This window comes from Homo sapiens, chromosome 4 (assembly GCF_000001405.40).
Source record: "Homo sapiens chromosome 4, GRCh38.p14 Primary Assembly".
Taxonomy (NCBI): domain Eukaryota; kingdom Metazoa; phylum Chordata; class Mammalia; order Primates; family Hominidae; genus Homo; species Homo sapiens.
The window spans coordinates 152846685-152863263 of record NC_000004.12 but is presented as its reverse complement, the minus strand read 5'-3'; the positions used below and the strand labels follow the sequence as shown (position 1 = coordinate 152863263).

General features: G+C 37.1%; 1 protein-coding gene across 6 annotated transcripts in view, besides 4 other annotated features; it reads right to left on the bottom strand.

Moving 5' to 3' along the window:
• ARFIP1 (ARF interacting protein 1) overlaps positions 1–16579 on the bottom strand; it is a 132404-nt gene that overhangs the window by 49094 nt on the left and 66731 nt on the right. The window lies entirely within an intron of this gene.
• Positions 12008–12666: an enhancer, noted in NCBI's record as "OCT4-NANOG-H3K27ac-H3K4me1 hESC enhancer chr4:153771750-153772408 (GRCh37/hg19 assembly coordinates)". NCBI's record gives its function as "activates a minimal SCP1, AML or CMV promoter by ChIP-STARR-seq in primed H9 embryonic stem cells {active_cell/tissue: H9 hESC(primed)}" and the evidence as "EXISTENCE:reporter gene assay evidence [ECO:0000049][PMID:30033119]".
• Positions 12008–12847: a biological region, named in NCBI's record as "Sharpr-MPRA regulatory region 8200".
• Positions 12553–12847: an enhancer, noted in NCBI's record as "tiled region #8200; HepG2 Activating non-DNase unmatched - State 24:Quies, and K562 Activating non-DNase unmatched - State 24:Quies". NCBI's record gives its function as "activates a minimal TATA promoter and a strong SV40 promoter by Sharpr-MPRA in HepG2 and K562 cells {active_cell/tissue: HepG2 | K562}" and the evidence as "EXISTENCE:reporter gene assay evidence [ECO:0000049][PMID:27701403]".
• Positions 15559–16059: an enhancer, noted in NCBI's record as "H3K4me1 hESC enhancer chr4:153768357-153768857 (GRCh37/hg19 assembly coordinates)". NCBI's record gives its function as "activates a minimal SCP1, AML or CMV promoter by ChIP-STARR-seq in primed H9 embryonic stem cells {active_cell/tissue: H9 hESC(primed)}" and the evidence as "EXISTENCE:reporter gene assay evidence [ECO:0000049][PMID:30033119]".

Here is a 16579-nt window from a genome sequence, read left to right as displayed (position 1 = left end):
CTAATATGTAAAAGCTGACTGACACCTAATATAATCACAATGAGCCTGGCTAATGCACAGTATAAACAAATCATTCACTTGCCATGTTAATTTCCCTTCCATTTCAAGAGGGCTTCTCTGACTTCAATCAGGGTGAGGTAAGCAAAAATTACTTAGATTTACATTGCACAATGATAATAGTTAACCTAACTGCAAATTAGCCTATAACAGAACCTTATTATAATAAAAATAATATTCAACACTGGGTCTTAAGAGCTTAAAAAGTATAAAAAGTCAAGAAGCACAATGTTCTTTAAAAGGCACAATCCTAGTTAAGTATATTCTAAGTTTTTTTTCCCAGAACTTTGTAAATTAAATCTCAGGGCTTAAGTAATGATTAGGCAAAAAGGCCAAGTAAAACTGTAAAATCACCAAGAAGTAAAGCTGAGGCTACAGTCTGCTGGCTTCAAGTGATGCAACAATTATGAATAATGTAGACTTAAATCTGGCCTATCCACATGACTAGAACTTCAGAGAAATCAAACTGAAATGAAGGCATTAAATCTACAATAAAATCACTTTTCTATTTACCTTTATTAAATTTTCATGGGAATTTCAGGGCTATGACAAGTTAAAAGTAAACACAGCTAGTAAGCTAAATTTTTAGACTGATCGTAGTTTAAGATAGCAGATTTTAGATCATAAATATATATAACTACTGTTATATATTTTTTCTAAACCATTACACCTTTTCTTGATGTACTGGTACAAGTATAGAGCCTATAGCAGGGGTCCAGGATATTTCTCCAAAGATAGTTATCCTTTTTTTTTTTTTAAACCTAGGACAAAACATACACATCTTAATCAGGTGAAGGCAATATGCAATCAAAGAGGAAAGTATACAACAATTTATAATGTAGTTAAGAATTCAGAAGAGGAAATGATCAGTGTGCATTCAATAGAAGAAAAAGTCTTAATGGAAGAGATGGATTCTAAGCTGCATCAGTGACCAACATGGATGATATGGAACGCTGGAGGGATGGAATAGGGTTAGGAAGGGTTCATCTTCAACCTAGTAGAAAAACTTTCAGGGAAGAGGGTGGGTAGCACTGGGCAGTCATTATCATATTATTGGGATAGCATGGAGGCCAGCAACTAGGCTACCATGGCCAACGTCGCTAAAGGTCTATGTTGAGAGATAGCGGTAAATGAATTAGAAAATTTTGAGTAACGGGTTTACTTGATTTGGTTAAAGCATTGCTTAAAGAATATTAATTTGGTAGACATGTAAGAACAGCTTGGAAGAGTTAGAAACTGAGGCAAGATTAATCATAAGATACCACCGTATCTCAAGTATTCAACAGCTAAAGTTTAGGATGGAGAGGTGACCAAAAGAACAGACAGAAGGGATGAAATTTAGAATAATTAAGAGTAATTAAAATACAAACTTTTAATGAAAATTCAAGGTATAGCCATACATTAAATATAACAATGAAGTGGTATAGCTAAGATAATATATACTACTGAAATAAGAAGCCCTTTCAGAAGTTAATTTCCATAATCATGAACCAAAATGCAAAGGGATTATTAAATCACTAGCCAAGAAGATTTAATCTTAAACAATTATATCTACTCTGCTACTGAAGTAAAAATATTGTAGGACAAGTTAAGTGACATGTTGTATAATATAACTTGAAAACACCCTATTTTGGAATGTTTGCTGAAGAAGTTTCCATCTGGATTCTAATGTTCTAAATGTACTCCTTAAATGTACTTGATGTTTTTCTTGACCAATGTATAAGCAACCCTTAATTACCTTTTTTTCCTTAAGTTTTTCACTGTTTTCAATGAGGAACTTACTAACTTATACAACGTCATAGAAATACAGTAAGGATAACTTGGTTCATCATCTCTATACTTCTGAGAAAAGGTATATGCTGCAAATGAAAATAGGTGGCTATAAAGAATAGAAACAAAACAGTTCCTAAAGATGAATAGAATCTTCTAGGTGCTAGGCCATGGAGTCATGCTTTTCTCTACTTTGCATCATCTTTGGAGGACTCTCTGGGACTATATTACGATTAGGTACCCAGGCCCAGAGCATGCTGAATCTCTATCACTAAACTTCTTTAGTTAACCATGAACATTTATTAGAATCTGTGATTTTAAATTAAGTACACAGGATTTAATATAATTTCCATTCTGAAAGGTCAAGTTTTACATTGCTTAAAACTATTCTTAGATATTTTTACTAAAGCATTTTAAAAACTGAAGTATAAAAAAGCCAATTTGGTTCAATTAAATTAAAAATAGTTTTTAAAATTCCCTCCAGATCCTAACACCTAAGAATGGAAAAGCAAACACCCATATACTTACCTTCTACTGTCTATTAACAACATTTGTAGGCTGTCTATGAAATCTAAAAATCTACCCTGTCATAAGTATCTTTGCTTAGTTTTAGCCATTTTAGTTTTATCCATTCAATCTTAAATCTCCAATTTTGCAGCTTGGTTTCCTTTTTCTAGCTAAACAAATATCTGTCCAGTTAGTGACTAATTTATTATTGGAAATAAATTAAACGGAGGGGATTGTGTCTGGGAATGGCTCCTTTATCCTGTAGTTCTCAAACCTGGGATTTCATCACACTGGCAGTGAGATGTGTGTAAAGTGATTTGTTACTAATAGTAGTTGAAAGCAAAACACTTATCAACTTCAGTGTGTAAAGTATTTATATTACGGTAGGTTCAAGGTAATCTCTGTGACTCTTTTGTTGCATTTTAGTATGCTTTTTGGACTGAGAGATACAGGGTGGAGTTTCAGAAGGCAAACAAAATTGTTTAGCACTTTGGACATCAGTGAAAATGTCTGAGAACTGGCTCTGATTTCAAATGCATCCATTATTTCAAAAAAATAATACCTAGCAATCATTTGATGAGGCAGTTTGATATAATGGATGCAATGTGGGCTCTGAAGTCAGCTCAGATATACCTGAGTTTGAATCCTGGCTTCAGTCACTTAATGGCTGCATAACCCCAGGCAAATAGTCTGAATTGCTGAGATTCTTCACTGTAACATGATAATGTTAAGGGATAATTATTCTTACTTCATAGACAACATACAAAAAGTACACTACAACATCTGGTACTTCAAGTATTAATGTCTTTCTCCTTCATCCCAATTTTTAAATAGAACTCTTCTGGAGACTAGAAGTTGGAATGATGAAAGATTATTTTCTTATATGTAAAACTGACCATTATATCTAAGAATGTATTTTCATATTACTTAGGATGAGTGATTTTTATTTTTTGAGTGACAAAGTCATGAAATTATAAGTATTTCCACCCTTATTATACTTACAACCCCATCTTAATTATATTAGAGCATGCCTAGATGGGAAACTAACCATATAATTAACTTCTGATATCCAGTGACTTTAAACAGGGCAACTAGATAGAATTTACAAGTCGGAGAGATCTGTTTTAAAATTTATAAAACGACACCTTTAGTAGAAATAGAGTTTCTGAGTAAGAGACCAAAAACTGTGGGAAAAAAGACATGCTTTAAAGGGAAGGTGATGAGTTTGATACAAAAAGTAAGGAATATACAGAGTACAAACCAAAAAATGCAAGAAAAGCCCAGCTGGAAGATCATTAAAAATAAGTACCTTCAGTAGGGATAGGAATGTTTTCATAAACAAAGAAAGGCTGCTAAAGAGAATTTGAAAGATAAACTGGTCTTTGAAACAGTCATTGGAACACTTGTGAAAATCCTCAAAAGACTACAAGCTTGGGTATTCTGAAGAACATCACTCTATATTCAATAAATGAGGCATCTGAGGAATTCTAGACCTCAAGACATGATTGGTTACCTACTGTACATAAAATCCAAATCAAACTCTTTCTTTCAAAGAGATAAACTGGTCAGGCATGATGTGATGGCTCACACCTGTAATCCCAGCACTTTGGGAGGTTGAGACAAGAGGATCGCTTGAGCTCGGGAATTTGAGACTAGCCTAGGCAACATGGCAAAACCCCAACTCTAAAAAAATACAAAAATTCAGCTGGGCATGGTGGCATGAGCCTATAGTCCTAGCTACTTGGAAGGGTGAGGTGGAAGGATGGCTTGAGCCCAGGCGACGGAGGCTGCAGTGAGCCAATTGGTGCGACTGCCCTGTAGACTGGGCAGCAGAGCCAGATCCTGCCTCAAACAAAAACAAAAACAAAAAACAAAAAAGAGAGATAAACTAGTATGTCTCTTATAAAGGAAAAGAAAAATATTGGTCTTGGGTCTCAAATGGGTCTCTCAAAACGTTAGATTTCCTACTAAAAGTCTTTTTACCATCTGGTTTGGATATGAGGTTTGGATCAGAGATTTACAGCGCTTGCTCCTTTAAAGATAACATACAACATAGCAATCCCCTCCAACCCCCACAAAAGAAATCCCTATTCCCCTTACCTTGTTCTATTTTTCTCATAGCAATGACCACTAAGTGATATATTATGTGTATATTTGTTTATTTTTGTGTCCCCTCACTATACTATACATCATGACAGCAGGGTTGTTGCCTATTTTGTTTACTGCTATATACCCAGCACCTGAAATAGTACCTGAGATATAGGGGGATCAAATAAATATTTGAATAGATAAATAATGAATTTGTTGAATGAACTAAAGGATTTATGATTCAATGCCATGTAGATTAAGAAGCTGCAATAATAACGGGTTTATTTTGAAATATAATTTAATGTATATTTGCTTATTCTTACATTAGACTTTTTGGTCAGAGAAAGAGATAAGGTACACTCCTTGCCATCTCATTGGAGACAAGATAGACATTAACATAAAAATTGAACATGGTGCCAAAGTAAAAACACTAAGTATCAGAAGAATTCAGAATAGACTAAGTCCATAAAAAACAAAATAGGAAGGAAGGAAGTACTGCCTGAGCTATGGAACATAAATTATTTATTTACTTATTTTATTTTACTTTTTTGAGATAAGGTCTGGCTCTATCACCCAGGCTGGAGTGCAGTGGTGTGATCTGGGCCCACTGTAACCTCCACCCCCTGGGCTCGAGCCATCCACCCACCTCAGCCTCCCGAGTAGCTGGGATTACAGACATGCACCACCACGCCCAGCTAATTTTTGTATTTTTAGTAGAGATGGAGTTTCGCCATGTTGCCCCAGCTGGTCTCAAACTCATGAACTCAAGTGATTCGCCCGTCTCAGCCTCCCAAAGTGGCGGAATTGCAGGTGTGACCCAACAGGGGTGGCTTATTTATTTACTTATGTATTGAATCAACATCTAATGACCACCAACTTCATGACAGCCACTGCTCTAGTCACTACTGACACGGCAGTGAAAGAAAAACAGATAAAGTCCCTGCCCACATAGACTGATGTTCTGGGGGGTGGGGACATAGGAAGGGAGGAGATTGATAGTAAACAAACATAGGTGGTAACAAGTCCTGTAATTAAGTAATAAACAAGTAAATAAGTTTTTGTTTTTAAAGGCAGGATAAGAGGGATAGAGAGTGACAGATAAAGGTTGCCACTTCAGATGCAGTATTTGGGGAAGGTCTCTCTGATGAGATAAATTGTGAACAGAGTCCTGAACAAAGTGAGAGAGTAATAAGCTGGGTTGCTGAGGGACTGGTGTTATTTAACTAAACTGTGCTAACTGAAATTAATGTATATTGGAACTATACAAAGCAAGAACTGTGTATATATTACCTCATTTAATCTTGACAAACACTTGAAGTGCTTTCACTCCCATTTTACAGATGAGAAAACTGGGACACAGAAGTGTGTCATTTTGATATTAACTAGCAATATGGTTAGGACTAAGCCTCCAGAAACGATATTAACTGTAATGTATGATAAATGTAAGCAGCCATAGGCAATTTATTGGAGACTTAGAATTTATTTTAGTTAGTATGTTTTCTAAAAGATTTATTTAAATAAATAGCTTTAAAAAAACATTATTTCAGAACCTGCTTCGGTTTAAGCGCACTAATAGAAATATGTTCTCAAACTGTAATTTCCTACTGGTACAAAACAGATGAACTGCCTTTATCCCATTCACTCATTTCCTAATATCACTTAAAACCTCTTGTCACAGGACAACGCCCTTCAACTACATATTGTTTTAAAGAACACTTAGAGAGTCAAAAAGAAAACATTCCTTACACTCAATTTTTATTTACTTCCTATTTTTAAACCGAGTCTCCAAGTCTGTTCATTTCACTGAATAAGTGACCTTTAACTTTCCCAGTTAGTTTTCAATATCTAAAATCAATGGTTTCCAGTTTTAAATATTAGCATTCCTTTCATTCATATTTATATTACTAGAATCTTCCCTCTCTGAAAGACAAAATAAAATGCTGTCAAATCACTGAAATAATTTGTAAACTTTGCAAGTTTGGTCATTAGGTCAACTATTTTTGGAATGGCTTCCTTGAATGTTGCCTTGCTTAAGTCTTGACAGCTTTTCAGTGGCTTATGTTTTAGTGAGTATAACAGCTTTCCTTAAGGAAAAAAGTACCAAAACACCCCTCAAAATACAAAAAATGTAAGAAAACCCTAACATCTGAACACAAACAACATACAAATGGCACAGGATTGTCCTTTGGAAGTTTGGTTCCAGGATCCCTTGGATACCAAAATACATGCGGATGCTCAAGTCCCTTATATAAAATGCCTAATATTTGCCTATACTCTATACACATCCTCCCCGTATACTTTAATCTCTAGATTACTTAAAATACCAAATACAATGTAAATGTCATGTAAATAGTTGTTATACTATATTGTTTTTAAATCTGTATTATTTTTAATTGTATTGTTATTTTTCATTTTATTTCATTTTCCCCAAACATTTTCAGTGCAGTTGGTTGAATCTGTGGATGTGGACCCTGGGATACAGAAGCTGGGATAAAGACAGCTGACTGTGTAGGTCCAGAATGGTTATGTTAGATGTATCCTTGGAACTTTATCAGAAAGAACAACACTCATCTGAATCATTCTCCTGTCATAGAATATTGTGTAAATTTCTGGAAAAGAGATATAATAGCAGTACTATCTGAGAGGAGGGGAGCTAAGTAATGTGTTATTAAATAGTACATATGATAGATAATTCTGATTACCTAACTTTTCAAGCAGTTATAGAGATACCTTTCATCTTGTCACCTATGGCCTCTTAGAAAAGAAAACTTAAGAGAGGGGCTTCAAGATGGCTGATTAGAGGCATTTCGCACTCCCTTCCTCCATTAAGAAGAACCAAAAGAGTAGATATCACACCTCGAATACATCATCCAAGAGAGACCACTGGAATCCAACAGAAAAGTGACAGGAAATATCTAAAGCAAGGAAGGAGAAGGAAGCAAGGCAACCTGCTCTGCCAGGATCAGCTGGGAGGCAAAGGGAGACTTCCCAATATGGGAAAGAGGTAAATGACAGACCCTAAGAAGTCTACATTCCCACTGTGGACTCTTGCAATCCTAGCTACAGGAGAGCCCCTGGACCCTCATGGGCCCTGAAACAAATGCAGGGAGCTGCCAGGAGATTGTGTGATGGCACTGCCCCAGAAAGGAAGCTCACTCTGGGTCCCACATGCTCCCTGAGATCTAAGCAGATACGGCAAGGTGCCATTTCAGAGCTCTGCTCCCAACAGATCTCACACTGTCCTGAAAAACAAGAGAAGCATGGGCTGCAGGCCCTAGGACTTAGGTGCAAGTGATAGCAGACTACTGTATCCAGGGCTGAGGCACAAGCACTGCAGGGGCCGAGATCTAAGGGGCATAGATGTTCTCTATCCACCAGCCTAGGCTGCCGCCAGTCACTAAAGGCAGCACCACCCTCTCCAGTGGAAGTGCAGAAGCACAGCTGTTGCCACCTCCTACTCACGCATTCTGCACCCCACCCCTCCCCACCACAGCTAGCACACCTGTACACACCATGGGGGGCCTGAGGACATGCCTACCCAACCTGGCTTCCCCACCCCCCGCAGCTGTGCCAGAACACATAGTCTGGGGGCCACAGCATTGCCCAGCCCAGTCCACTACCACTGGCACCTGAACACTCTTCCAGAGGACCTGAGGTTGGACTACCCACTCAGCTGCTACCACCTCAGCTGGCACCTAGTTGCATGCACTCCCTGAGGACCTGGAGACTGGTCCGCCCAGCCCATCACAGCCACTGCCAATACCCATGCACACTACTCAGGACCCAAAGGGTCGTCTGCTACTGCCACTGCCATTGCCCATGCTATGCTAGCTGCCTAGAGGTCCAAGAACCTGCCCACCTGCCTGGCCCACTGCCGCCACTACTGGCATCCAAGTAAGCCATCTGGAGGCCCAAAAATCCACTCGCCTGGACCCATTAACACTGGTGCCGGCATATACCACCCTGGGGCCAAAGGACAGGCATGCTCAGCCCACCACTGCTACAACTGGGGCCCAAAGAGTGACCTATCTGACATCTAAAGCAAAACTTCACCACAGCTTCCACTAATAACTGTACACTTAATCCACTGAGGAAAATCACAGATACCACTAATGCTGTATACAGCCAAAGAAATTATACAGAGAGTACACTACTGCTTGCACAAGAATCAAAGTCAAAGTAGCCTACTCACCCAATAGCATAGATACAACTTCAGGAAAAAGTCCTCCCCTACAATAGCAAATTCAAACTAATGGAGAAACGATTACACCAGATATCAATGTAAAGACACAAAAAACATGAACAAGCAAGGAAATATAATACCTCCAAAGGATCACAATGATTCTCCAGCAACAGATCCCAACCAAAAAGAAATTCAGGAAACCTTGGAAAAAGAATTCAAACTACTGATTCTCAAGATGAAGATACAAGAGAATTCTGAAAAACAATAGAGAGAAATCAGAAAAACAATTCAGGATATGAATGAGAAATTTACCAAAGAGATAAAGATCATAAAAAAAGAACCAAACGGAAATTCTGGAATTGAAGAATTCATTGCTTGAAATACAAAATACATTCAAAAACTTCAATAATAGACTAGCTCATGCAGAAGAAAGAATCTCAGAACTTGGCTGAGTGCGGTGGCTTATGCCTGTAATGCCAGCACTTTGAGAGGCTGAGGCAGGTGGATCACCTGAGGTCAGGAGTTTGAGACGAGCCTGGCCAACATGGTGAAACCCCGCCTCTACTAAAAATACAAAAATTAGCTGGGTGTGGTGGCACGTGCCTGTAATCCCAGCTGCACAGGAGGTTGAGGCAGGAGAATTGCTTGAACTCGGGAGGTGGAGGTTTCAGTGAGCCAAGATCGTGCCCCACTGCACTCCAGCCTGGGTGATAGAGTGAGACTCAGTCTCAAAAAAAAAAAAAAAAAAAAAAAGAATCTCAGAACTTGAAGACAGGTCTTTTGAAAGAACCCAATCAGAAAAAAATAAAGAATAAAAAAGAATGAGGAAAGTATTCATGACATGAGACAACATAAAGTGACCAAATATTCATATTATCGGGGTCCCAGAGGGTGAAGAGAGAATGAAAGTGTTAGAAAACCTATTTAATATAACAATAAATGAAAACTGTCCAAGTCTAGCAAGAGATTTAGGCATCCAGATACAGGAGGCTCTCAGATCACCAAACTGATACAATACAAAAAGATCTTCTCTATGGCACATTATAGTCAAAAAGTCTAAAGTCAACAATAGAGAATTCTAAAAACAGCAAGAAAAGTGTCTAATCACCTATAAAGGAACCCCCATAAGACTATCAGTGGATTTCTCAGGAGACAGAAGCCAGGAGAAAATGGTATGACATATTTGAAGTATAGAAAGAAAAAAACTGTCCAGCCAAGGATACTATATCCAACAAAATTACCAGAAGGAGAAATAAAGTCTTTCCCAGATAAGCAAAAGCTGAGGTAATTCATCACCAGTAGACAGGCACTACAATAAATGCTCAACGGAGCGCTAAACCTGGAAGCAAAAGGGCAACATTTACCATCATCAAAACACATGAACATACAAAACTCACAGGTAAAGCAAACACATAAATGACAAAGAGAAAAGACTCAAACGGCACCAATACAGAAAACCACCAAACCATAATGAGAAACAATCAGGCAAAAAGAAAGGAACAAAGATTATACAAAATAACCAAAAACCAATTAACAATATGAGAACAACAAAACATATCAATAAAAATCTTAAATGCAAATGGAGACAACTGTAGCTGAGGACATTACAGTCACTCAAATCCCTCCCTACTGTCTGCTGGGGTTCTTTACTAAACAAACAAAAGTTCTTCCAGAAGAAAACTCTACTGTCCTATAGGTAAAACAGGTGTAAAATCTGAAAATCACTAAGGCCTTCCTATGCCTAAGCTGCTACTAACAGAAGGAGCCTAACCAAAAATGATACAAATAGGTTGAATTCCAATTCTGAAGAGAACTATCATTCTGATGTGGTTTGGCAGCTAAATGAAACACAAAATAATAGGGGCTATGTGAGACGAATTTATGACTTGTGAGATAATACTAGGGATTTTATGAGTTTGTTGTTTTCAATAAAATACTCATTCTCTAAGTAATATTATATAGCCTCACAGTTCACCAAAATTTTAAATGTGCTTTCTTTACATAACCCGAAATTTTTTTTTTTTTTTGAGACGGAGTCTCGCTCTGTCACCTGGCTGTAGTGCAATGGCGTGATCTTGGCTCACTGCAACCTCCGCCTCCCAGGTTCAAGCAATTCTCCTGCCTCAGCCTCCTGAGTAGCTGGGAATATAGGCACACGCTGCCACACCTGGCTAATTTCTTTTGTATTTTAGTAGAGACAGGGTTTCACCGTGTTGCCCAGGCTGGTCTCGAACTCCTGAGCTCTGACAATCCGCCCGCCTCAGCCTCCCAAAGTGCTAGGATTACGGGCATGAGCCACCGCGCCTGGCCAACCCTTAAATTTTTTAAGTGTATCAGTTATATAAGTCTGTGCCTAGCTTAGCAACTTATAAAGTATCTGCTACTGAATTTACTCCTATATTTTCCAGACTATATTTCAGAGACAATGGACCCATTTATAATTAACAACATAAAATTCCTAATTTGCATTTTTATGTTGCTGACATTCAATTCAAAGTTTAACACTTTGCAAGGCCAAGCTTAACAAGTGTATAATAAAATGGGATAAACCTGAGTTAACCTTTTATTCAAGCTTTTAGCATAATGCTTGAGTATTTAATAGTTTTTAAAAATATTTTTCAAACAATTAAGCTAAAACAAAATATGCTTTTGGCAAAAGCTCCAAATACATTTTTGTACATTTTAGGTACTTTTAAAAGAATACAAAGTAATATTTGTAGTAATAGCTTTCATAAAGCTGTGAAAAATAACGTCTCCATTTTGCATATTTTAATAGAGGTTACTATAATTATGACATTAAAAACATAAGTTTAGAACTTAAAATTTAGCATGGTAATACTTTTGAACTGTAGTGTAAAACCAACACATGAAGAACACAAAATGTTCAGTAAATTTGTTTTAAAATATATATCCTTGAGAATGTCCTAAGTCTCACTCCTCTTTTGCCCTTGATGACTGAACTTGTTTCCCATGTCTCTAGTACTGTCAGTCCCGCAATCAATTCTTCAAACTAGACAGAGACAGTTTTCTAAAATGTGAACCCAACTGAGACACTCCCATTTTTATAGCATTTAGTGGCTCTCCATTGCCTTTTAGGTAAAGACTAAACTCTTCAATATGGTTTTCAAGGTTTTGCAGGATCTACTATCTACTTATCTCTCTAGCCTCATTTCTCACACACCTGCCCTCACATTCTCCATTCCAACAACATGAATTTCCAGTTCTATGGTCTCACACTTCCTTCGGGTTGTTACAGTTGCTTCTGATGAGAATATTTTTCACCCTTTATCTGGCTAGGTCATCCTTCAGACCTCAGCTTATATAGTAATCACTCAGGTAATCTTTCCATGCTCCCACCAGTACTCAGACCATGCTATACTTGGCCTAGCACAACATTTTTCACATGGTATTAAAATTAATTTGTCTATATCCTCTCTTCCCATTCCGAAGACCATATGCTAAGATCAGGAAGCTTATCTATCTTGTTCACCACTTGTATTCTTGACATCTAGCAGAGTGTCTATTACTTCATTTGGCAAGAAATTTTCTCAGTAACATCTCATGCTTCAAAAGGGACAAAACCTTCCAAAGCATCTACATAATAAATTTTTTAAAGAAACAAACTAAAACACTTATGTTAAATGTTTGATGAATTCTGTTAATTTAAAATCTCCTTTGTTAGTTTAACAGTTAGCTGTCTATAAAAAGTATCTGCCAGAAGCAAAGCTATTATTACAACAGCCTCCACATCCCCAGTTCTGTAACACTATTAACCCCCCTTAAGTGGCCTCTCTGCTTCTCCACAATTATCTTGAGTTTTATAAAACTGATTATCTTCCAACATTCTACTTATCAATATTCTATTGTTAGAAGGCAGGGTCAGCATTTTCTAAACTCTCTATTGGTACTTCTAAACAACCAGTTCTCAAACCTTAATTTCAGTAGGAATCACCTGAGGATCCTGTTAAAAATGCAGATTGCTCTTAGCTGTGTGGTGATTCTCACTGAGTTGGAATGTGAAGCCCAGAAATCCGAATTTCAAAACAAGGAAATCAGGTGATTCTGATGCAGGCGATCCTTAGTCTATTTTGAGGAACTGTTGTAGAGAACTGCTTTCCATTCTTGTGCAACTCTGCCCCTACCCAACCCCCCCGTTTCCTGTGTGTCACCTTCCTCACTGCCCTCGTCCCCACCTCAACATTGTCATCTACCTTCTTTCCAGTCAATTTCAAATATTTATTGAAGACTTTGGCACATCTAGGGCTTCTGCTTTATCCCTAACTCTCACCATTAAACTGGGTGTTTCTAACCTTTTGCATGTTGGTGGGCACATTTTCAGGAAATGATTATAGATGTTCAGTTAGCAATTCCTTCCAAGCTGATATATTCGCTGTCTAGGCTGAAAGTTTTCACCGATCATTAAAAATACAGTCCACTAATGTTATGGTAGGTAGTAAGTTGCTATATTTTAAAATATAAATTGTAAAACACTTAAAATCTGTTCCATGAGCCTGCCTACCTATGCTGATGCAGAATGACAGGGGATAGTAATAATGATATGTAAAGGTATGTGATTTTATTTTCCCTCCGTATACTTGCAGAAATGCGTAAAATTGGTAATCTGGATCAGGTTTGGGAATCTGTAGTTGGACAACATGCCAAAAAAGTGTCAGGGCAGATAAAAGACATTTTAGACTTAGTATAACCCAATCTACACCTTAGTCTCAGATTTCATTAACATCTTCATTTCTAATGCCTTTCATCTTTCATACCCCATATTCCACTCAGGCAACCTAAACTCAAATTGCCACTCTTAGACCTTGTCATCACTTCGGAAGCAACACTTCTAGATTCTCACTTTAAATAAGTTTAATAACTCACTTTATGATCACAATATCCTCCTGTATCTTATTCCATCTAATCAAGAGAGTAAATCTAACATTTTTATTGATTTTTTTCCATTTACCACCATACACACACACACCTGCCTGCCACAGACACACAATTTCAATCTTCTTTTCTCCCTCTCTCCCATTCATTCAACAATATTTAACAAGAACTTACAAGTACCTTTTGGTGGTTCACTGCCTACCCTCTTGGCCTCACCCACTTAGTCTAGATTCTAAGTAGTTCAAAAGCTTGAATCATGTACCAACTTGCATCAAAGAAATACTGAATTCATTCACATACTATCACTGTGGAAATATTTATATGTATCTACATTCAAAATAATTCCTTCAAAAAATTTAAAAACGACATATTCCTAATAGCTTTTGTTTATAAATAACGACACACTCTCAGATTATAATTTAAGACAGATAAGCCTTCAACCTTTCATTATGAATTGTATTTTCAACAAAATTCCTCCAAGAAATAAAAAAAAACATATTACTAATAGCTTTTGTTTATAAATAAGGGCACACTCTCAGATTATAATTAAGACAGATAAGCCTTCAACCTTTCATTATGAATTGTATTTTCAACAGGACTCTCAATCCAGAATTAATTTAATGTATGTGTATATTAAAAATATACTTAAAATTTTAATTTGTAGTAATAGTATTAAAAGTATAGCCTATAGCTGAAAAGCAAACAGTATTAAAATGAATCTAGATTTGTATGGGTTAAACAATCCTTGAAAACCATTTGCCATACCTCTAAAAGGGATCAACATACATATTTGGTCAAAACTGGCTCTCTGAAAAAGCCCCCATCAAATCATTATTGCCATTGACCGAGCTACTACATTTTTTATGTGTGAGTAACGTGGAAACATTATATTGCATTCCTATATAGAATGGAGACAAACTGTAATCACATGCTATGAAAACCCTAGGGTAGGATGGCTGAAGGAGAAAAGATGTCAACTTTTAAGTCTATTTACTAGAATTCATTCTTTTATTGAGCAACTACTATGAACCAAAACTTGTGCTGTGTATACACACTATCTCTGACCTAACAGTGATTCCAATCTCTTGGGAAAAGGAGATAAATAAGTTACAACATGTGACTGGTGGGGGTAGGAGTTGGAGGAACAGTGTTCCAACAATTTCTTGTATTTCTTTCCCAAATCTTCTGCAGATCGTAGTGTATGATATTGCAGACTGCTAAGTACAAGGGAATGAAGAAACGACTTAGCTCAACAAAATCATTAAAAATAAAACTATAACAACAAAGACTCACACTCACAAACCCAAATACCACATGCAGGGAAATTAAGGACACAAGATGTATCAAATATAAGATTACAATATCTCTTCCCTGGTTTTTCAGAGAAGTCTAAAAATCTGGTTTCTAGTCCTCGTCCTCGTTCTTACGTGAATAAACATTCATTTATTCACCATTTATTGAAAGGCCCTCTTTGGTAGTAAGTGCCAAAAACTGTTACCAAACCCTGGAAATAAGGTAATGAAAGAGAGCGCTCTTGCACTCACTGCAGTTATAGTCAAATCACATAAGCTTTTGGTACAGCTATTTAATTAATACTGGGTAATTCCATAACAACTTCAAGGGCCTTTTTTCTCCACTATAAAATAACATAGTGAGACTCCGAGATCTCTAAGGTAGTTCTACTGAACGAATACTCTGTGATATCACTTAAAACTTACAGGTGGGGGGTTCTTAAGACTCAGGGAACCTGAGAACCCTTATGCAGGGTTCAGGGGGTCCTAAGCTCACTAAATCTGAATGCAAAATTTGGTAGGTTTGTGTATGGACATTTTGCTAGAGAAAGTGTTCATAGGTAAAAACACCCTACATTAGTGGATTTTTGTTTTGGGCCTTCCACGGGAAAAATTCCATTTTAGCTAGGTCTAAGGAGGCAATGTCTTTAAATCTACCAACTATAAATTAATTCACAAGAAGTTTCAACCATGTGGAGTTAGTATGATTTGCTTCTGCTCTTAAACTCATGGTATGAGTTGCAAATTTCTAATTAATTTTGACCAGCACTATAACAGCATCCATTACAAATACTACACACAGTTTACAAATCAGAGTAATTTGAATTATTTAGATTAAATTGTAATACTCTTTTTTAAAAGAATAATTTTTAAAAGAATAATTTTAAAGAATAATTCTTAAAATAATAATTTTATTTTTATTTTCTAAATAAAATGCATTTATTTAGAAGCAGAAATATTTTTGCTGTAAAAAACTGAGATAATACTAAGATGATTATCCTCTCCACATCTGGCTGTTGCTGCCCCATCTTAATAAAAAGAAGACACCGGGTGCAGTGGCTCATGCCTGTAATCCCAGCACTTTGGGGGACCAGGGCAGGAGGATCACCTGAGGTCAAGAGTTCAAGACCAGCCTGGCCAACATGGCGAAACCCTGTCACCACTGAAAATACAAAAATTAGCCGGGCGTGGTGGCACATGACTGTGGTCCCAGCTACTTGGGAGGCTGAGGCAGGAGAACAGCTTGAACCTGGGAGGCGGAGGTTGCAGTGAGCCGAGATCACACCATTGCACTCCGGCCTGGGGGCGACAGAGTGAGACTCTGTCTCAAAAAAAAAAAAAAAAAAAAAAAAGAACAAACCTAAAAACATTAACATACGAGGCAATGACTAAACTGCTGGCAAAGGGATTGCTAGGACAAAATCATCTCTACATAGATGTGAATATTGAGTGTAAAGCTAACCAGGGCCTCTCTTAGGACAGACTAAGAAAGGAAGTAAAATGAAAAATCAAATATCTGCAATGAGAAACACAAACAAGAACAAAAAAAAAAAATTGTAATTTCATTGCCTGTGCCACAGTGACACCAGCTGGCCAGCCAGGTTACGACAACGTAATAACCTACCACTTTTATTTTATGTAACAGACTAAACTTTTAAAAGTGCATTATGCATTCAACAAAAGCCATTATAAGATTTTAAACAAGTATAAAAGAAACATGTATATAAGTAAAGTACCTCAGAAAACTTTGGTTATGATTCAGTTTTACATATGAGATCTCTTCACTAGTCTA